Source organism: Homo sapiens, chromosome 12 (genome assembly GCF_000001405.40).
Source record: "Homo sapiens chromosome 12, GRCh38.p14 Primary Assembly".
Lineage (NCBI taxonomy): Eukaryota > Metazoa > Chordata > Mammalia > Primates > Hominidae > Homo > Homo sapiens.
Genome location: NC_000012.12, coordinates 22,577,275 through 22,600,357, shown reverse-complemented (window position 1 = coordinate 22,600,357; position 23,083 = coordinate 22,577,275). Strand labels below are relative to the sequence as shown.

Genomic DNA, 23,083 nt, shown 5'->3' with positions numbered 1-23,083 from the left:
TGATAATGGTAGATAAAAGTCTTAATGGCTTCATTGACTTCCCATAAACAAATAATGAAGTTCATAGTCTATAGTTCATTATACCTGTGCTGAAGGAGACTCCACCATATTTATCTGTGAAGAGCTCTAACTAGGAGTGAAGGAAGGAGTTTCCCTTCCCATTTCAAGTTCCTCGGACCACAAGCTGGCTAACATTGATGGGGAAGGGACACTCGTGCACAGAAGTAGGTAAAACTAGGCACTGGGCACAGTGGCTCACGCCCCTGTAATCCCAGCACTTTCAGAGGCCGAGATGGGTGGATCACCTGAGGTCAGGAGTTCAAGACCAGCCTGGTCAACATAGTGAAACCTCGTCTCTACTAAAAATACAAAAAATTAGCTGGCATGGTGGTGGGCATCTGTAATCCCAGCTACCCAGGAGGCTGAGGCAGGAGAATCACTTGAACCTGGGAGGTGGAGGTTACAGTGAGCCGAGATCGCGCCACTGCACTCCAGCCTGGGCAATAAGAGCAAAACTCTGTCTCAGAAAATTAAAAAAAAAATAAAAAAATAAAAAGTACATCAAACTAGGCTGAATTTTAAATAACTGAATGTGACTGAAAATCTATGGGATTTTCCTGAGGTATCATTAAGAGATGAGTCAGGGGGATTTGATAAAACAGAGTTGAAGTCACTTAGAAAAAAGTTTTACCTTTATACCCTAAGGTAGAAAAGTTGCTTATTAAGCTCATTATGCATATTTTGCATAAAAGTTTTGAAGACTTTTAAAAACTTTTAGAGTCCATGGCCATACCACCTGAGTGTACTCGATCACATCTGGAAAAATTTAGAGCCATTAAAGAGTTTAAGAACCTTAAAACCAAGAAAGAATTAATGTTACTTATGACATACGATACTTAAGAAGAAAATAATTTACAATACATGTAAATCACCTGATATTAACATTAAAAACAATGTAATGAATACGTAGTGTAATAAAATTTTTATATTTTCATTAAATTTTATCATGCTAGAAATATCACTTGTGAATTGTGCTTAATAATTTATAACAAAGACAGCAGGATATCTGAAGGATGTCCCTCCTTCAGTTTGCTGCTTGACAAAAACTTATACTTTTATTTCCAGATCAGTACAAATGCCACCTCTAGGAATGTTATAAATAATGTACTTCTATATCACATTGTATTATAATTATCTGTTTATTTTTTTCCCATTACTAGATACGTGTTCTTCAAAAATAAGAAGATATCTTATTTGTTTTTGTATTCCCTACCTGGTATAATGCCTGACGTGTAGTAGTCAGTTAATAAGTGACTGAGTTATTTAATGAATAAGTCATATATAGAGTCATGCGTTGCTTAACAATCGGATATATTCTGAGAAATTCACTGGTAGGTGATTTCACAACTGTGCAAACATCATAGACACAAACCTCCATGGTCTATCCTACCATACACCTAGGCTGTATGGTATAGCTTAATGCTCCTAGGCTACAAACCTGAACAGCATGTTTTTGTACTGGATATGTAGGCAGTTGTAACACAATGGCAGGTATTTGTGCATCTAAATATGAAAAAGGTACAATTTTTAAAAGGAATAATAATCTTATGGGACCACTATCATATATGCAATCTGTCATTGACCAAACATTGTTATGTGGGGCATGGCTGTATTTCTTATCATTAGAGTTGAAATTAAGTTTTGAATAACTAGAATATTTTGGGAAAGTCATTGATGTTCATGAGCATGAGGTGCTCAATGTACTAGGTTAGTATGACCTTTTCTCATAAGGTTACAGGAGATTTACTGGCAGAGCTGATAATTGACTTTATTGCTCACCAAATTGCTGACTCTAACATAGGTATTAAAAATTATGAAAAACATCTAAATTGTTGGCTTTTTAAAGATCACTCTGTTTACTTCAGGCTGTGATGCATTTATTACTATGAAGTCAAAGAACAGTTCTAAGAGATCTTAATTTCCCAGTAACATGATAGTGAGCTGGCTGGTGGAATACGACCTAAGGCTTGCAATTCTACACGAGTGTTTAGCTTCCTCAAGTAACTCATTAACTGTTTGTCTTACTAAGCAAAGTGCAGGATGATTCTGAAATAACTAAATAGACTAATAAATGTTTTTGCAACAGGGAAATCTTTCACACTTTTATGCTGTTATTAAAATAGATACTCTACTGTGTGTGAGCTGTCTTAATTCACTGAGACACTGCCTCAAATTTTTTGCTTGGTGTGTTTCTTTTTTAACTTCAAATATGGTGCAGACACAGTTGTAAAGTCCTCATTTCAACTTTGCAAGTCTTTGTGCATTATTTCTCAAAACAATGGAATTTTCTACTTAGCACATACTCAAATGCATGCAAGGAAATATTCTTCTAAGAGGTAAATATAGTAATACAGTGATTAATTTTTTTAAAAGATTCTATTTAAAAAGCAAACTTAATATTGTTTGGTTTATATTCTTATATGGAATGATATACCTTTTAAATTCTAAACTAGAGTGACATCGGTATTAATTTGGCTATTATCCTAGTTTTACAAGCCTCGCTACAGGTATTTTCATATCTGTAGACTTGAGTAAAGGGTCTGATATAAGGCCGGGTGCAGTGACTCATGCCTGTAATCCCAGCACTTTGGGAGACTAAGGGGGGCTGATCGCCTGAGGTCAGGAGTTCGAGACCAGTCTGGCCAACATGGTGAAACCCTGTCTCTACTAAAAATACAAAAAAATTAGCCGGGTGTAGTGGCATGTGCCTGTAATCCCAGGCACATGCTTGGGAGGCTGAGGCAGGAGAATTGGTTGAACCAAGGAGGTGGAAGTTGCAGTGAGCTGAGATCTCGCCACTGCACTCCAGCCTAGGCAACAGAGCAAGACTCCATCTCAAAAAAAAAAAAAAAGTGTCTGATATAAAGATACAATTTCTTCAAATGAAGATGAAATATTTTCAGAAGTAGTTCTAAGTGAAAACTCAGTTTAGCAACAATCTAGACATTTATGTTTGTCTTGTTCATCTTTTGTTTCCTAGCACGTAAATTAATCTACCAAAAAAGAGCCTGAACTAATTGTCTTACAATTAAAGAGTACTTAAACTAAACGGTAATTAAAGGATTTTATTTTTTTAACATAATGGGTTTATATTTAATATACTACTTCTCATCAGGAGGATGTTACTCAGTTAATATAAAGTTTTTTTTAAACATTAACTCTCTTTTCCATGTCAATGTCTTTAAATCTTTTCTGCATTTCAGTATTAGATACACTGAACACATTTTTCTAATTTTTTTTCCCCCAGAGATAAAAAGTTCCCCTTTTTGGCTGACTATTTGATATCTAAATACAATATCAACTTGGGAGATAACAAAACAAAAATTTAATAAAAATATGGAGAAAAGACTCTGAAATGATTCAGGACGCAGTGATTACAAGTGAACAGTGGTGATTTCCTAGAATTTTGGGCAAGAACTTCCTTCTTTCTATTTTATGTGCTTTGAAATTCTAAAAGTATGAACTATTATGAAAATTTCAGCCATCTTACTTCTTTGACCTCCTTTTTGACCAGCAAATACAAATCATAGGCTGCATTTTTCAGTGCATTATTTGTTGTAAAGAACTCTTCTTTTTCCATATATATACATATATCTGTTTGTTCTCATTTCATGGAAACAATGAAGAATGTAAAACTCCCCTATTTACTGATTCTTGAAAACTTTCAGACACCAAAGCTCAGGTTTAGCCTCAATAGCACAAAGGTTTTCAGGCTGAGGTTTGATTCAGTAGGCCCTTCAAAGTCACATGTGTCCATATCTTTCTAGTGCAAATACCTGCAAGTAAGCACAAATGCCTGTAATGCTGAGAACCACACCTGACAAGAGATCGATTACATCACTGGCTTCTTCTGCTTCAACAACAGGCAGCATCAAAACTGTGACATGAGAACTAAGGATAACTATGTTGAAACTGAGGCCATGCTGTTGAAATCTTGAGGGCTGAAGGTTCCAAAGAAATGATATACATAGAATTCTATCAGACTTGAAATTTTCCTTTTCTAGAGCTCCGGATGCTGAGACTAAGAGGTTCCACATGAGGCTGCTTTCCAGGAAGCAGTCATTACAGGAATCAAAGCATTTTCTTTCTTTTTGATACATTACTATCTTTTCTATACACAGATGATAAGAGTACAGAAAAATGTTATTTCTGTTATTTAGTAATGATTGTAATTTAAAACAAATCCTTAGTTTGCACTAAAACAAACATCTCGATCAAGAAAAGTAATGGTTTCACTGAATTCAGTTCAAATCAAATATTTATAGAATTGTTATTAACTTTTTTTTTAATTTTTTTTGAGACAGGGTCTCACTCTGTCACCCAGGCTAGAGGGCGGTGGTGTGATCTTGGCTCACTGCAACCTCTGCCTCCTGGGTTAAAGTTATTCTCTTGCCTCAAGCTTCCTGAGTAGCTGGGACCACAGCCATGCACCATCACGCCTGGCTAATTTTTGTGTTTTTAGAAGAGACAAGGTTTCACCATGTTGGTCAAGCTGGTCTCAAACTCCTGCCCTCAAGTGATTCACCCACCTCAGCCTCCCAAAGTGCTGGGATTACAGGCGTGAGCCACTGTGCCCGGCCTGTTATTAATTTATAATGTCACTAAAATAAATACAACAGAATAAGACTTTTAATGAGGGTGTGGAGGAATATAACCAGAAAATCTAACCTGTATCTGTGCCTCCTGGCCAGTAACCCTTTGGGAATTCTGTATGGAGAACAGGTCAGGTGGGAAAGATGTCTGGGGCTGGCCCTTGGTAAGAGGCTGCGGCTAGGAGGAAAGGCTCAGGTTTGGGAGCCCAGAGCCTTCCCTGGCTCTGATCTCTGACTTCCAGAGCCCCAGCTGCTGGCCGATTCTAGAATATCCTACTTGATATGATTAAAAGGCCTAGGAGAGCTCGGGGCCCTCAGTGGCAAAACAACAATGTCCAACCCTTGGTCTCCTCTCTTTCCACCTTCGGTTAAACAGCATCCCAGTTAGTTTTTCCCACCAGTGGTGCTATTGAGGTTTTTAAAATATTGCCTCCATTTAGCAAGGAGAGAAATAATAACTAAGAAATATACCCTTAAAAAATATTTATTTCTTTTTCTAAAAATACGGGAGTCAAGATTCCATTCACGGAAGAAAGACAAGGCCAACCCCACACCCTCAGAAAGGTCCACCTGGTTTGTCATTGCAATATTTTTCATTTTTTTGGTTATTATTTCATTTCAATTCCATCCTTCTATTCTTCTTAATCTATATCCATAGACCAAGGGGTAAACAGATACTCGGATAACTGCCAAAAAAAATTAATTACTAATATATAATTAACATTTATTGAACATTATACCAGCCAGTGTTTTACTTTATAAATATCATTAATTGTGCAGCGCACCAGCATGGCACATGTATACATATGTAACTAACCTGCACAATGTGCACATGTACCCTAAAACTTAAAGTATAATAATAAAAAAATATATATATCATTAATTTTCTTTCTTTATTTTTTATTATTTTTTATTTTATCAAAGTGGGGTTTCACCCTTGTTACCCACGCTGGAGTGCAGTGGCACAGTCTCAGCTCACTGCAACCTCTGCCTCCTAGGTTCAAGTGATTCTCCTGCCTCAGCCTCCCAAGTAGCTGGAATTACAGGAATGCACCACCGTGCCTAGCTAATTTTTTTTTTTTTTTTGTATTTTTAGTAGAGACGGGGTTTCACCATGTTGGCCAGGCTGGTCTCAAACTCTTGGCCTTAGGTGATCCGCCCGCCTGAGCCTCCCGAAGTGTTGGAATTACAGGCATGAGCCACCGCGCCTGGCCCAAATATCATTAATTTTCACAAGCACTATATGAAAGAAAACCATGATTCAGTACGTAGTTCTCTTCAAGGAAAGAAGAACTGCTTACTAAAACTGAGCAATATTAGGTAATTGTGTGAATCCATTCCTAAAGGGCATTTCCTCTACAATGGACAATTATTTTCAGTTGTAGTTGTACGAATGATATATAATGCCACAGCTGAGATCCTGCTGTTCCGAGAAAGTTAAGAGTGTGTCCAGAGAAACTTGAGCAGGTTAGTGAAGCATTCAAAAATGCTGTTGCTTGTGGAAAGGTTAAAATCACTATGACACTTTAGCATAGAGAAGAGACTACTTAGGCAGCTATCTTCAGATATTTGAAGGGCATTTTGTACAGAACAGATTGGATCTTATTTTTGTATTGCTGCCAGGCACAAATAAGATACATGAAATGGGGCAGGGAGACTTTGTGAGTCAATGAGTTCTCTTTGCATTGCTAAAAGTGCTCAAGATTATCATTATCAGGGTAGAGCTTGTTTTTATTCTTTTTAAGTTTATTCCAAAACAAATACAAAACAACTTTACCAAAAAATGAGAGGAAAGAAATAAAGCAGGAAGGTAAAGCAGGAAGATAGGCAGAAAGGAAAGAAGATAGAAAAGAGAGAGAGCTTGGTAAAAACATAAGGGATGATCTGTTAAAGATTTTTTTCAAGAAGTAAGTGGAAAGTAAATTTAAGATGAGTCACTGGTTTCCTAAGAGAATAGGAAGGTTTATCCAATGTATGCTCTGGTAAATATATCAAACATGAAAAAAAATTACATAAAAAAGACCCTAAGATACAAAATAGTCAATGTTGATGGTACATATGATGGATATTGTCATATCTTTTTGATAGGATTATGTACGTTGATACATTTCAACAAACAATAATTTGACAAAATAAAACATTTATAACTTCCGCATCATAATTCTACTTCTGTGAATCTATCCTAGTGAAAAAAAACTTAAGAAGCTGTGAGCATAAGTATATTCATCACAGTGTTTTTTAAATAGTAGAAAATTTGAAATAATATAAATCCAATTATAGAGGAATAGTACATTAACTGCAGTACGTTCAATGAATAGAATGTTATGTTGCCATCAAAAAGATGTTGTCAGCTGGGTGCGCTGGCTCACACCTGTAATCCTAGCACTTTGGGAGGCCGAGGCGGGCAGATTGCCTGAGCTCAGGAGTTCGAGACCATCCTGGGCAACACGGTGAAACCCCGTCTCTACTAAAATACAAAAAATTAGCTGGGCGTGGTGATGTGCGCCTGTAGTCACAGCTGCTCAGGACGCTGAGGCAGGAGAATCACTTGACCCTGGGAGGTGAAGGTTACAGTGGGCCAAGATCGCCCCCACTGCACTCCGGCCTGGGCGACAGAGCAAGACCGAGACTCCGTCTCCAAAAAAAAAGGATGTTGTCAAAGAATGTGTGTCAGCAGGGGGCTAAGGCAGAAAGATTGCTTGAACCCAGGAGTTGGAAGCTGCAGTGAGCTATGATCACATCACTGAACTCCAGCCTGAGTATACATAGGCAAAACATTTTTAAAAGGACTTGTAATAATTTACTTGGCTCTCTTCTAAAATTGTGAATAAATTCCATTCATATACCTCAGTAACATTTCCCACATTTTCCTCTTCTTTTCAATTCTCTGCAACCCCACATTATTCTGGAGCCTCTTACTTATAAACCACAATCCAATATTCCCCTTTCCCCTTTTCTCAGCTGCTTTCTTTCTCTCTATCCCCCTCTATCAGTTATTTTTTTTAAGTTATCCCAGATCAATTTAGCTTTTCTCTCCCCACCTTCACCCCTTCCCAATTTTGAATTCTGCATCTCAAAAGTCCATCACTACAGCCTGGCAGAAGATGAGCCTTCTCTGGGGGAAAGGAGGCAGAGGCTGGAATGAAACACACAAAGTCAGCATTCTGTCTGGTAGAGGGAAGGTCATCTCCGCATTAATAATTTTTTATCCTGTTTAGTTATAAACAAGTTAACAAAATTTAAGATACCAAATATTGAAACTTGGTACTCAAGTATTATTGTCAAACTGGTTTTGATTCAAATATATATACTCCCACCAGAAATACATTAAAATATCCACAATATATACCTTCATCAGCATTGGGCATTTTATTTCTTAGTCTCCTTTTTCAGGTAAAACTAAGAAAAATTATGTTAAAATACTGATAAATACACAATTATAATATTAGCATAAGTGGTAGTGCTGACATGTAAAGGACTAGAAAGGTCTCCCAGACAGAAGGGCCAGGATTTTACTATAAAAATAAAATTTACTTGGAACTATGTCTTAGGACCCTGCCAATTTCTTGCTGAGTTAAGACGTATGATTTACATAAATCCTGGTTACACTGAGGGGCAAAAGAGATAAGAAGTAGCCAGTTGTTAATGGGGAATATGTCAAGAGGAAGGAAAACAGAAGTAAAGGCTGTAAGAATACTTAAAATGCTTCCTTGTTTTTGAATTTTTAAAAATTTCCATTTCTAAACATAATTGATTTTACTAGAGCCCTGCTGCTGTCTTTGATTAAATGAGAAAAGATTAATTGCTAGACTCTGCACCCCACTAGATGCTTCCTGTAATATCCTGTTTTCTGTTAACTACTTAATCAATAATTTAATTAAAAATCAGTAGAATTACAAGTATGTAGGATAAAGTCACATGAGGTCCTGGAGGGGCTTTAAAATACTTTAGCAACAAAAAGAAAGAAAATAAGGGTAGCTAAAGCCCATATGACAAAATTCCAATAATTTTCAAATCTGGGTGGTACATGTATGAGGTTTCATTATGCTAGTCTTTCTGTAATACTTTTGTAAATGTTTAATATTTTTTGTAATATTTAAATCAGTAATATGATGAAGGCAATTTTGAGCTGTTTTTAAAAATAAAGTTTCTAAAACTAAAGTTTTCTATCAACAACATTATTTTTATATTACATCTTGATTTATCGATTTATGTAGAATAAATATAGATGAAAAAATATAGATGAGTTCTTGACATATAAAAAAAGTCTAACTATCCAAGGATGAAAAAATATGCATACGATAAAGATCAGATTCAAGAAATTTTAACATTAGATCTTAAGAAGTAACACCAACTTGCACTTCTTATTACAAGCAAAGAATCCAACGTGCCTTTGAATTGTTTCCAAGATTCTTCACTTGTTCTTTTCCATCTTCTGCCCCACTTTTCTTGGTCTTGTACCTCAGTCTTGGATTTAGGCTTAAACATCCTTTTTCTTCACTCTATTGTTCTCTTGTTGTTTTATTTGAATGGAAAAATGGAAAATAAGCTATGTAGGATTCAAGATAAAACAGCTCTTGCATCAAAAATATTCTTAGAAGAACTGGGACCAATACCAGGAATGGTGGTAACTAAAGAGAGAAGGGAAAAGAACTAACATGTTTTGATTGCCAAGGCAGTATCATGGACATATATGAATAGCAGGGTAAGACATTTTAAAATATTGATTAAAAGAAGCTTATTATTATTTTTCCTTTTTTTTTTTTTTTTTTTTTTGGCAGTGTCTCAATCTATCGCCCAAGCTGGACTGCAGTGGTGCAATCATGGCCCACTGCAGCCACAACTTCCTGGGTTCAAGTGATCATCCCACCTCAGCCTCCTGAGTAGCTGAGACCACAGGTTCGCACCACCACGCCGACTAATTTTTTAATTTTTTTGTAGAGACAGGGTCTCATTATGTTGCCCAGGATGGTCTCAAACTCCCAAGCTCCAGCAATCCTCCCACCTTGGCCTTCCAAAGTGTTGGGATTACAGGCATGAGCCACTGCGCCCGGCCTATTATTTATTTCTTGAAGAGTCACTAGAGTGGCCCAATTCTTTATGCAAATGTAAGACAAGCAGGGTTCTTTGCCCTGTAATGAGGGTATAGCAAATATCTTCTATGACTCCATTGAGTCAGTCACTCACTGTGATTCTGGGAATGTGAGGCTGACTACTGGCACAAAGGTAGATCAATTTGCATGAGGAACCCAGGGCCTTCTGGGAAGGGAAAAAAATCCTAAATATTTTCTCTGGGATACACTACTCCCTCTTTCTCTGAGATGTGAAATTAGAGAATACTACTGAGCTAGAGAATGTAGGCTTTATTCATCCAAGAGCCAGTGGTAGGGACAGGCAGCATGTCTCCTGAGATTAATATAGAGAAAGGTGTTATCTGAACAGGTAACCCCAACCCTTGGCACTCAAATAATAAAATAATATAGAAGCAAGTAGAATAATAAATATACTTTTTTCCACGTAAAGAGTTAAATAATAAATATATTTGTACTTTTTTCCACATAAAGAGTTAGTTGAGGCCGAGCATGGGGGTTCATGCCTGTAATCCTAGCACTTCAGGAGGCTGAGGAGGGTAGATTGCTTGAGCCCAGGAGTTCAAGACCAGCCTGTACAACATAGGAGACCTTGTCTCTACAAAAGAAAAAAAATTTTATCCTTCCCAAGAACAAAACACAATTGTCACCTCACATTGGATTTTCCCCTCCCTAACCTTCCATTTCATGGAAATTTAGCTCTAAATTATTCTCTGTATGCCATACTTCTACTTCTTAGGAAAATTACCTATGTGTAAAATAGTGTTGTTTGCACTTAAAAAAATAATAATTTGGAGTTAGTAGAAGTGAATAAAGCAACAGGCATTCAAATCCCATACTGTCATACTGTCAGCTCCATGGCCAGACTTCCTCATCCTAAATCCTGACTTTGTTTACCCTTACCTTTTTTTTTTTTTTTTTTGAGACGGAGTCTCACTCTGTCACCAGGCTGGAGTGCAGTGAGGCGATCTTGGCTCACTGCAACCTCTGCCTCCCAGGTTCAAAGGATTCTCCTGTTTCAGCCACTCGAGTAGCTGGGACTACAGGTGCGCACCACCACTCCCAACTAACTTTTGTATTTTTAGTACAGGCGGGGTTTCACCACGTTGATCTCTTGACCTGGTGATCTGCCCGCCTTGGCCTCCCAAAGTGCTGGGATAATAGGCATGAGCCACCGTGCCTGGCCACCTTCTTATCTGAATGGTTCTCACCCTTGATTTCCCACCTCAAGTTCTATTTTCCTCTTGAAATCTCACCAGCCATCTCACTCCACAGAGATGTTTTTCTGCTTCTGAATTCTTGTTATATTTACCACTCATTTTCATATACTCCCCTATGGCTATATTTTAAGTATATAAACTAAAATTTGAGTTGGAATTTATTTGAAAGCAGTGACAACATTCTGGATCTTTCTGAACTCTTCCAAGGGGTTAATGTGGTGTTCCACATGTAAGCTGAACATTAGACTGAAATGCTAATAATTTTCTGAGAACATATGAGTTCTTCTCCTACCTCTTTTGGCTCTGTTTAGCTTAGTAACAGTCATGGACAACAGCATGCGAATCTTAGAGCTGTTATTGGTCGACCTAGCAACCATGCGGTTCCCAAGGATACAAACTCTGAAGACACACCCTTTTGGTATGGTAATGAATGAAGCTAAAGAGGTAACTGAAAACAAATGTCAATATTAGAACTAGTGTATAATTAACTGTGGCTTTATGGTCTCTGTAGGAGCCACTATTACCCTCTCTAAATCAAACATTTTGCTTTAGTCACATGAGACAAACGTCTTAAACTTTTAAAAAATGAAATAATGAGAACATGTAGAGGAGTATCAAGAATAATATAAAAACTAACCATGTACACATAAGTCAGTTTTAACCAATATTATCATTCAGCCATTTTTCCTAAGAAATGAAACATTATGGAACTTGAGCCTTCCGGCGGGCATGGTGGCTTATGCTTGTAATCCCAACATTCTGGGAGGCTGAGACAGGCAGATCACTGGAAGTCAGGAGTTCGAGACCAGCCTGGCCAACATGGTGAAACCCCATCTCTACTGAAAATATAAAAATTAGTCAGGCATGGTGGTGCACACATGTAGTCCCAGCTACTCAGGAGGCTGAGGAACAAGAATGGCTTGAACCCAGGAGGAAGAGGCTGCAGGGAAATGAGATATTGCCACTGCACTCCAGTCTGGGTGACAGAGTGAGACCCCTTCTCTGAAAAAAAAAAAAAAAAAAAAAAAAAAAGAATTTGAGCCTTCCCAAATCGTTTTCCTTCCTCTTTCTCCAGCCTAAAGCTGATATGTTTAATTTCCCATTCATGTTTGTTTTTTTAACCATATATGTATATACTAACACTATGTAGTACTATTTTGCATATTTACAAATGTTACACAATTGTTATTTTAAAAATAGTAATCTACAAACTGCTTTTTTATTAACGATTAAAATTTCATTAAAAATTAAATCAGTTTCTTAATTTTTTATTGTCTCCTTTGATGATCTTTCATTATTTTCTATCCTTATTATTTTTCTTCCTATTTTCTTTGGCTTTGCTCTCTTATTTTTTTTTTTTTTGTAAATGTTCTATTAATATGTGTGATTGAAAAAAATATACATCTTTTCTACATTAGTTTACCTTAAGAAATATATGGAAAGCCTGGTCAACATAGTGAGATCCTATCTCTACAACAAATTTCAAAATTAGCTGTGTGTGATGGTGTGTGCCTGCAGGCTTAGCCACTCAGGAGGCTAAGGCAGGAGGATTGCTTGAGCCCAGAAACAAGAGGCTGCAGTGAACCATGATCACACCACTGCACTCCAGCCTGGGTGACAGAGACTGTCTTCCTGCGCCCCCACAACCCCGGCAAAAAAAAAAAGAAGAAATACACAGGACATAGGTTTACTATTAAATCTAAAATGAGGCCAGGCATTGAGGCTCACACCTATAGTCCCAACACGTTGGGTGACCGAGGCAGAAGAATTGCTTGAGGCCAGGGGTTTGAGGCCAGCCTGGGAACCCTATCTCTATAGTTAAAAACACGCACGCACTCGGGCGAGAGAGAGAGAGCGAGAGAGAAATGATACATTTGCAATTTTGATATCTATGTGATTAAATGGCAGGAGAAATAAACAATTGTAGAAGTTTAAGGAAAAGATTATCTTACAGATTATTCTATATCAATATTTACAGAAAATTTTTTCAGCTACATTGAATACCTTTTTTACTTTTTTTTTTTTTTTTTTTTTTTTTTTGAGTTAGAGTTTCGCTCTTGTTGCCCAGGCTGGAGTGAAATGGCGCAACCTCGACTCACGCAAACTTCCGCCTCCCAGGATCAAGGGATTTTCCTGCCTCAGCCTCCTCCCAAGTAGCTGGGATTACAGGCACCCGCCACCATGCCCAGCTAATTTTTTGTATTTTCAGTAGAGACAGGGTTTCACTATTTTGGTCAGGCTGGTCTCGAACTCCCGACCTCAGGTGATCCACCCACCTTGGCCTCCCAAAGTGCTGAGATTACAGGTGTAAGCCACTTGGCCTGGCCTTTTTACTTTTAAGATAATCTATTTTTCCTTTCACTATGACGGGTCTAAGTGTAGATTACTTTATTTTAAACTTCAGTGTACACTATGATTTTCAAGATTTATGACATTTTTTAATTCTAGAATATCCTATTTATTATCTGTTCAAATAGTAGATCTCATCATACAATTTCTTCTCTTTTTTTCCTTTGTTTTAAAGGGTACAAATGAACATCCAGATAAAGAGGTCCTGAACTTCTGCCAATACTGTAGGTATCTTTAGGTATGTGGATGCTTAATAAGCACACTGAGATGATCTAAGAATGGAGAGCAAACTTCTTTTTTTCTTTTAATTAAAGAACTTTTCTTACGCCAGGTACAGTGGCTCATGCCTGTAATCCCAGCACTTTGGGAGGCTGAGGTGGGTGAATCACTTGAGGCCAGGAGTTCGAGACCAGCCTGGGCAACATGGTGAAACCCTGCCTCTATGAAAAAAATAAAAATCAGCCAGGTGTGGTGGTTCACACCTGTAGTCCCAGCTACTCATGAGACTAAGGTGGGTAGATCAGTTGAGCCCAGGAGGCTTTTTTAGAGACAGGATCTCCCTCTGTCACCCAGGCTGGAGTGCAGTGGTGGGATCATAGCTCACTGCAGCCTCAAACCTCTGGGCTCAAGCAATCCTCCTGCCTCAGCCTCCTGATTACCTAGGACTACAGGTGCATGCTACCACGCCCAGCTAATTTTCAAATTTTTGGTAGAGACAGGGTATTGCTATGTTTACAAGGCTTCCTGTATATTTCTTAAGGTAAACTGTTGTAGAAAAGATACTCCACCAAATAATGACTTAAAATGTAAGTATTTAGTTTTCTCATATGTAATCCTGAGGTTATTGGACCAAGTTTTCTGGCTGGTTCTGCTCTACATGGTCATTAATTGGCCCTGATTTTTTCCATCCTGTCTCTTCATCATTGCCTAGGTCAAGAATTCTTAGTCATTTTTGGCCGGGCACAGTGGCTCACGCCTGTAATCCCAGCACTTTGGGAGGCCAAAGCAGGCGGATCACCTGAGGTCAGGAGTTCGTGACCAGCCTCAACATGGTCTCTACTAAAAATACAAAATTAGCCAGGCGTGGTGGTGCATGCCTGTAATCCCAGCTACTCGGGAGGCTGAGGCAGGAGAATTGCTTGAACCTGGGAGGCGGAGGTTGCAGTGAGCCGAGATCGCGCCATTGCACTCCAGCCTGGGCAACAAGAACGAAACTCCGTCTCAAAAAAAAAATAATAATCCTTAGTCATTTTTGTGCTGTGGACTCCGTTGGCCCTCTAGTTAAGTGTACGGACTCCCAGAATAACTTTTAATGCATAAAATGAAATACATTGGAATCAAAAGAACGATGAATAATAGCCATTGTGTGATTTGATTACCTTCTATGATTCGCCATCTTTAGTTGTTGTTTAATCTCTACTTTTTGGGAGAGTTTGATCTTCTGCAACAGAAAACAGACAGAAATTGCTACTGGGTGTGGAGTTCAGTCATAACAAAAACTTAAAAATACACAGCAATGGCTTTTGGACTAGCTGGTGGACAGAGAATGGAAGGATGCAAGGAGACTGTTGGAGGAGGCTGGAAAAGCTGTGAGGATTGTGTAAATAAAGACTGGAGAAATAGCAAAAACAGCATTAGAGGAGGCTGGAGAGGCAATGAGGCAATTATTGGAAACTAGAAAAGGGGAACCCAGAGTATGCAGTAGCAGAAAAATTATCAAGCTTGTAATCTGTAGAAACTGATTTAAGCATGATTTATCCAACAGCTATTTATTGAAAATCTATGATGTGCCAGACACTGTGATAGGAGCTAAGAGACGTTAGCGTTGCAAGAAAACTTAATTTTACCAGTTAACAATTTTCATAATATTTTTGTAAATATTGGTAGCTTCTAGTAATTAAATGTAGTTGGGGTCCACCTCCCTCCCCAAATTTCCAAAAGCCTTGATATCAGTGTATTGTTAAGTGGTATCTTATAATAAACGTAAGTCATAGACCAAATTCTAACAAATATATTCACTAGAATATCATTTTAATATACACAGAAATTATAGTCCTTCCATGACAAAATATAGCATAATTCTATTAAGAATTACATAGTAAAGGTCGAGGGCAGTGGCTCAAGCCTGTAATCCCAGCACTTTGGGAGGCCAAGGTGAGCGGATCATGAGGTCAAGAGATCTAGACCATCCTGGCCAACATGATGAAAACTCGTCTCTACTAAAAATACAAAAATTAGCTTCGCGTGGTGGTGCTCGCCTATAGTCCCAGCCACTTGGGAGCCTTAGGCAGGAGAATTGTTTGAACCTGGGAGGCAGAGGTTGCAGTGAGCTGAGATCGTGCCACTGCACTCCAGCCTGGCGACAGAGTGAGACTCCATCTCAAAAAAAAAAAAAAAGAAATAGTAAGATGATGAAGCAGACAAAAATCATAGTATTAATATTTTTGCAGTAGGTTTGAGAATAAGTTGTTTGTTGTTGATATATTTTACCATTTTATGTTTTAAGAAGTTTGGTATATTTAATATCTTACAGATTACTTTTATGATTCCAATATAAAATGTCTCATTTATTCAGACTTGCAATTTCAAGTTGAAAGGTATAAGGCAATGTTATTAATTTTATAAACGGTATTTTAACCCCTAAAATAAGTTGAGATTCAATATTAATATGTATACATATTTAATTTGCCAGATTTATAAGTCATATACATTCTTGGGAAATTTTGTCAAATGGACAATTTAAACATTTAACTAAAATTGTAAATGAAACCAAATGTAAATCAAAGTCCTCATAAAAGTAACTGTTAAAATTTGTCAGATTTATAAATTAATAATTTGATTCATAACTTAAAAGCTTAAGAAGGAATAGGTTTTTGAATTTGTAACATTAATAAATCAAATATGAATTTAATAACCTCAAGTAATATTTCCCTAAGTCATTCTCAAGAACATCAAAATATTGTCCTTGACAAAAACGAATCAAGCTCATCAGTGTTAAGTAACAGTGCAGTGTTACCGAAAAGGGATCTCGATCCAGACCCTAAGAGAGTGTTCTTGGATCTCACACAAGAGAGAATTCAGGGCGAGTCCAGAGTAAAGTGAAAGTGAGTTTATTAAGAAGTAAAGGAATAGTAAGAATGGTTACTACATAGACAGAGCAGGGCATTCAAGAGCAGACAAAGCAAGAGGAGGAACACATCCACCTTAGGTAGAGGCTTGTTTATATATAATATAAAAAGAAAAAAATGGGGAACACACCAATGGGGAGATGTGCTGTCCTACAAGGGCGTGTAACAACGGATTGTTAATCTTTGTGTAACTACTGTCTTCTGCAGTAATATATTAAACTAAGAATGCTTTTGTTCTTAAGATATGGGACTCAGGACATTTCCCAAGTTTGTTATTTTCTGTGTCTGTTAAGTCCTGAGTCTGTTCGGTAAACATTATTAACTTGTTTCCTTAACTGTACATATCCTATTGACTAAGAATGCCTAACCTGGGAATGCTGCCCAGTAGGTCTCAGCCTCATGTTACCCAGCCCTTATTCAAGATGGAGTCACTCTGGTTCAAATGCCTTTGACAACAGCTTTCATTGAAAAGGAATACAATACTATCGTGTGTGTGTGTGTGTGTGTGTGTGTGTGTGTGTGTGTATGTGTGTGTGTGTGTTCTTTGGCCTTGTTTTTCTATTTAATTTAATAGCTAAAATTTACAATTCTAAAATTTAATTTGAGTGTTTAAGCATTTTAAGTAATACACTGCTAAAGAGAGAGGGTTTGTTTTTTTTTTTCATTTTTCAGTATTGCACTTCAAGAATTGTCCAAAAGTGACCCAGAGAACTCACTGTAGGCTTCTCAGACAATTAACAGCTCCCTCTCCCAGTGGATAGGGATGCAATGAACTTAGCTATCCACAAGCTGGTGGTTTCTTATTCCCTAGCAGGAAGGTTACAATTTCCCATGGGCCCCAAGATCTTCAGGAAGGAGTGGATCTAGGATTTTCTGGGGCCTAAAGTTTATATATGTCTCTTTTTGCTGATCCTTCTTTTTTTTTTGACAGTCTTGATCTGTTGTCCAGCCTGGGGTACAGTGGTGTGATCTTGGCTCACTGCAACCTCTGCCTCCTAGGCTCAAGTCATTCTCCTGCCTCAGCCTCCCAAGTAACTGGCACTACAGGTGTGCACCACCACGCCCGGCTAATTTTTTTGTATTTTTAGTAGAGATGCGGTTTCACCATGTTGGCCAGGCTGGTCTCGAACTCCTGACCTCAAGTGATCTGGCTGCCTTGGCCTCCCAAAATGCTGGGATTACAGGCATGAGCCACCATGCCCAGCCTGACCCTTCATTTTTTATTTCTCAGATAAATCTTATTCCTTAATCCATACCAGGTGACACAGTAGAATTTATCTTTGCCTCCTTCATCTTAAGTGCTACTATTTGTGTGTTGATTCAGTGCTATTAATTTACCTCCGTTTCACATGTAGCTATGGGGGAAATTAATTTGAAATTTTATTCTGGACAAATGCAATGGAACAGTAAGATATAACTCTGTAGTCACAATTATGTGGAAGTGGAATGTAAGAAAGATTAGAAAAATATTTAAAATTAGAAAATTTCATTCCTATCAGCAAATTATGACAGATCTAAAAAATCTTAGGAATGAAAGTGTCTATTGCTACAAATTATGTGTTTTTACATTATACGATTGAGCAACATAGGCTTAAACTTCCCAGGTCCAATTATATATGGATTTTCTTCCACTTCTGCCACCTCTAAGACAGCAAGACCAACCCCTCCTCTTCCACCTACTCCTTACTCAATGTGAACACAACCAAGTTGAAGACTTTAATGATGATCAACTTCTACTTAATATTATACATAGTAAACATATTTTCTCTTTCTTATGATTTTCTTCATTTTTTTCTCTATCTTACTTTATTGTAAGAATACATTGTATAATACATATAACATGCAAAAAATGTGTTAATTAACTGTTTATGTTATCAATAAGGCTTCTGGCCAACAGTAGGCTACTAGTAGTTCAGTTTCAGGGGAGTTATACATGGATTTTCAACTGCAAGTGGGGTCAATGCACCAACTCACACTTTTCAAGAGTCAACGGTATAGCCTCCCCCTTTTTTTTGATGGAGTCTTGCTCAGTCACCCTGGCTGGAGTGCAGTGGCATGTACTCGGTTCATTGCAACCTTTGCCTCCCGGGTTCAAGCAACTCTCTAGCCTCACAGCCGCGGCCTCCTGAGTAGCTGGGATTATAGGCACCTGCCACCACGCCTGGCTAATTTTTGTGTTTTTTAGTAGAGATGGGGTTTTGCCTTGTTGGTTAGGCTGGTCTCGAACTCCTGACCTCAGGTTATCCTCTCGCCTCGGCCTCCCAAGTCTGAGATTACAGGTGTGAGCCATTGTGCCCGGCCTGGTATAGCCCTTTTGCACTTATGCAATTAACTTGCCTTTATTATTGAATACAAGATCGTAGCTGAGACTACAGGCATGTGCCACCATATTCAGCTAATTTTTATATTTTTAGTAGAGATGGAGTTTCACTATGTTGGCCAGGCTGGTCGGGAACTCCTGACCTCAAGTGATTACCTACCTCGGTCTCCCAAAGTGCTGAGATTACAGGCATGAGCCACTGTGCTCAGCCCTCTGTCTCTTATATAGTGTGACTGGTGCTTTTGTGAAGAATATGTTTTTTACTAACATGGTGTTTTAACATATTTTTCATAACATTTCTCTTTTTGAGGGCTGCATTTAATTATTTAATTTAGAGTTGTTGACTTCATCAACTGCACCTTTTCTAGACAATGTATAATCATATAATATGTACTCTTTTGTGTCTGGTCTTTTGTTCAGCAAAATTTTTTTGTGATTCATCCATATTGAGACGTGCATCCATAATTCCCTTTTATTTCTGAATAGTGTTACTTTGAAAGACTATGTCACACTACAGTTTGTTTATCCATTTACCTACTAATGGACATGTGGGTTGGATCCAGTTTCTAGCTATTATGAATAAAATAGCTACACATATTCTGATTCAAGTACTTTAGCAGTGGTGAAAATATTCCAAATCTTCAAAGTGATGGGCATTACATAACTACATACATTTATAATATCTCATATAACTGTGTACCTAAAAGGGATGATTTTTACTGGGTGTAAATTTTACATTAATAAACTTGACTTTAATAATATATGCATATGTATGTGTGTGTGTCTATCTAAAAGAAGCATACCACTAAGGAAAAAACGGTGGCTACCAAATTAAGAAACTTATGAGGCATAAACGCACTTGGAATTGGTTGCAATACATACATAATTGATAATTGTGTACAAACAAGTTGCTATATTCTGCCAATAGAAATATGTAGTTATCAAAAAATTGTGGTTATGTCTGGGTGTGGTGGCTCATGCCTGTAATCCTAGCACTTTGGGAGGCCAAGGCAGGAGGATCACTTCAGCTTAGAAGTTTGAAACCAATGTGAGCAACATAGTGAGACACTGTCTCTATTTCTATTTTTTTATTGTAGTTATAAAAGATAAATATCTGTATTTATCTGTCCACCTATCTATCTATCCATCTCTCTCTCTATCTATCCATTCAGAAAAACTGACTACACAACTTTTGTTATCGGGAGGCAGAGGCAGGAGAATCACTTGAACCAGGGAGGTGGAGGTTGCAGTGCATCGAGATCGCGCCATTGCACTCCAGCCTGGGCGATAGAGTCAGACTTAATCTCAAAAAAAAAAAAAACTATTGTTATAAAGTTGATATTGGGCCAGGTGCAGTGAGTCATGCCTATAATCCCAGCCGAGGCTGGAGGATCACCTGAGGCCAGGAGTTCGAGACCAGACTAGGCAACACGGTGAAATCCCATCTCTACTAAAAATACAAAAATTAGCCAGGCATGGTGACACATGCCTGTAGTCCTAGCTACTTGGGAGGCTGAGGCACGAGAATTGCTTGAACCTGGGAGGCAGAGGTTACAGTGAGCTGAGATCGCACCAGTGCACTACAGCCTGGGTGACGGAGCAAGATCAAAAAAAATAAAGCTGATATTGAATACAGCAACCAAAAACTTTAGCATTACAGTATGTACTTTCTCTTTGTTCTCAAATATCAATAAGATTTTTAAAATGAGCCTTTTAATAATTATTTTGTGAACCAATCTAAGTGTTTTACAATGGTATTGAAATTTTGCAAACTAGTACTCTCTATTTGGGTTTAATTTTGTTCAAAATCAGTTGCAAAATTTAATTAAAACATTGGAGCATCAAAAGACTTCAGCTTTTTAAGTTTTAGCAAATTCTGATTATTAAAACTAAGCTTTCAAACAGGAAGACATTAAAATTACCTCTATGAAAGCAAAGAAAAAATAGAACATTTAACGAGAATGTAAAATTAACAAAAATTGAATTCCATCATAATAGATTCATTCTTTGAATATATTTTATAACGGAAAGAGTGAAATTGATAAATCCAATAATTTTGCTGCAGCTACATTTGATAAATATTCTTACAAACCCTAGAGACAACTTAAGATGGTTTATCTTGAAAAAAAATCTTTTTTAAAAAAAGATACTATGGACCAGGCACGGTGGCTCACGCCTGTAATCCCCAGCACTTTGGAAGGCCAAGGCAAGAGGATTGCTTGAGGCCAGAAATCTGACACCAGCCTGGGCAACATAGTGAGACCCCATCTCTACACACACATACACACACACACAAAAGATAATATGAATGGAGGTTAAAAATCTTTACTTCTGAAAATATTTGAGCCCAAAGTATTTTACATATCAATAAAAAATAAAATTTATAATATCTTCCATTTAGCAGAATTTTCTCTGAATTTCCCAAGTACCTCAGAATCTGTAGAAAGAATATTTTCTGTATTAAAAATATTATGGTCTAGAAGAACAAATTTGTAGGACTTACTGATTTCAAGACTTACTATAAAGATACAAAAATTAAGAAAGTATGTATTGGCATGCACACTTTCTTAATTTTTGTAGCTTTATAGTAAATCTTGGCATTCATTATATGAATATATGGAATATGCATAGAATAAATATGTATGTATATGGAGTATATATAGAATATATATGATATATGACATGTGCATATATACACATATATATAGAATATACACATATATATTCTATATATACTCCATATATGGTATGCATATATATACATATATTCTATATATATTCCATATATTTATATAACTTATATATTTTTATATATGGAATATAGATGTAAGCAGAATAAAAGGCAGAAATAGAACTATACACATACATGGCCAATTGATTTTCGACAAAGATACCAAGGTATTTCAATGTGAAAGGAATAATCTTTTTCAACAAATGATACTGGAAGAACTGGTTATTCAGAAGTTCTATAGTTTGGATATGGGTTGTTTGTCCCCAGCAAATCTCATGTTGAAATTTGATCCCCAAGGTTGGAGGTGGCCTAATGGGAAGTACTTGAGTCATGGGGCAGATCCCTCATGAATAGATTAGTGCTCTTCCTTGGGGGTAAGTGAGTTCTCACTCTATTAATTCCTAAGAAAGCTGGTTCTTAAAGAGAGCCTGGTACCTTATCCCTCTCTCTCTTTCCTCCTCTCTTTCTATGTGATCTCCGCAACACCAGCTCCCTTTCACCTTCCGCCATGAATGGAAGTAGCCTGAGGTCCACACCAGATGCAGATGTTGGTGCCATGTTTCTTGTACAGCCTGTAGAACCATAAGCAAAATAAACCTCTTTTCTTTATAAATTTCCCAGTCTCAGGTATTTCTTCACAGGAACACAAAACAGATTAAGACAAGAGGGAAAAAAAATGAAGCTTAATCCTTAATCTTCATTTCACAAAACTTAACTTGAAATGGGTCACAGAACTAAATGTAAATGTTAAAAGTTATAAAAATTTGTGACCTTGACATAGGTAAAGATTTCTTAGATAGAACATAAAAAGCATGTGCTATAAAAGAAATAAATGAATACATAGGACTTTATCAAAATGAGAACTCTTGCTCTGAAAAATACAACCATGAAAATGAAAGGTGAGTCACAGAGAAAATATTTGTCGTACATGTATATACTGATAAAGAGCTTATATACAAAACTCTTACAATTCACAAAGACAAAGAAACCAGTTCTTAAAACTGAGCAAAAAGCCAGGCATGGCAGCACATGCCTGTAGTCCCAGCTGCTCAGCAGGCTGAGGTTGGGGGATTGCTTAAGGCTAGGAGTCTGAGGCTGTAGTGCACTATCCTCACACCTGTGAATAACTACTGCACTCCAGCCTGGGCAATATAGTAAGACTCCAGCTTTAAGAAAAAAAAAAACCTGAGCAAAAGATCTGAAAGGACACTTTACAAAAGAAAATATATGAATAGCAAAAAAAGAAAACAAAAAAAGTCCATTATCTTAAGTCATCATGGAAATGCAAATTTAAATCACAATAAGATACCACTGCCCATCCATTAGAGTGGCTAATATTAAAAAGACTGATAACATCAAATGTTGGGGAGAACGTGAATCTACTAGGACTCATGGATTGCTGATGAGAATGCAAATGGTATGGGAATTTTGGAAAATAGTTTAACAATTTCTTATAAAGTTAAACATATAGTTCAACCCAGCAATTCCACTCCTAGGTTTATCCAAAGGAAATGGAAACACATATCCACGTAAGAATTTAAATCTGAGTATTTATAGCAACTTTATTTATAATAGCCCCAAACTGAATCCAAC

At 37.3% G+C, this 23,083-nt stretch overlaps 2 long non-coding RNA genes and 1 pseudogene across 2 annotated transcripts in view, besides 2 other annotated features; 1 reads left to right on the top strand and 2 right to left on the bottom strand.

Annotated features, from left to right (window-relative positions):
* ETNK1-DT (ETNK1 divergent transcript) overlaps positions 1 to 11,351 on the top strand; it is a 36,040-nt gene extending 24,689 nt beyond the window's left edge. Inside the window, exons 3-4 of the long non-coding RNA NR_135030.1 lie at positions 9,434 to 9,551; positions 11,274 to 11,351. This is a non-coding gene — a long non-coding RNA (ETNK1 divergent transcript). The remainder of the gene's footprint in view (positions 1 to 9,433; positions 9,552 to 11,273) is intronic.
* On the bottom strand, positions 3,268 to 4,357 carry LOC112268094 (small integral membrane protein 30-like; annotated as a pseudogene).
* On the bottom strand, positions 8,961 to 22,081 carry C2CD5-AS1 (C2CD5 antisense RNA 1). Its single transcript, XR_001749044.2, has 3 exons — positions 21,926 to 22,081; positions 14,691 to 14,752; positions 8,961 to 9,283 (listed from the first exon to the last, which is right to left on the bottom strand). It is a non-coding gene; the product is annotated as a C2CD5 antisense RNA 1 (long non-coding RNA).
* Positions 16,257 to 16,457: a silencer, noted in NCBI's record as "peak1598 fragment used in MPRA reporter construct". NCBI's record gives its function as "represses an SCP1 promoter by STARR-seq MPRAs in K562 erythroleukemia cells {active_cell/tissue: K562}" and the evidence as "EXISTENCE:reporter gene assay evidence [ECO:0000049][PMID:32103011]".
* Positions 16,697 to 16,897: a silencer, noted in NCBI's record as "peak1597 fragment used in MPRA reporter construct". NCBI's record gives its function as "represses an SCP1 promoter by STARR-seq MPRAs in K562 erythroleukemia cells {active_cell/tissue: K562}" and the evidence as "EXISTENCE:reporter gene assay evidence [ECO:0000049][PMID:32103011]".
* Positions 22,082 to 23,083: the final 1,002 nt, after the last annotated feature.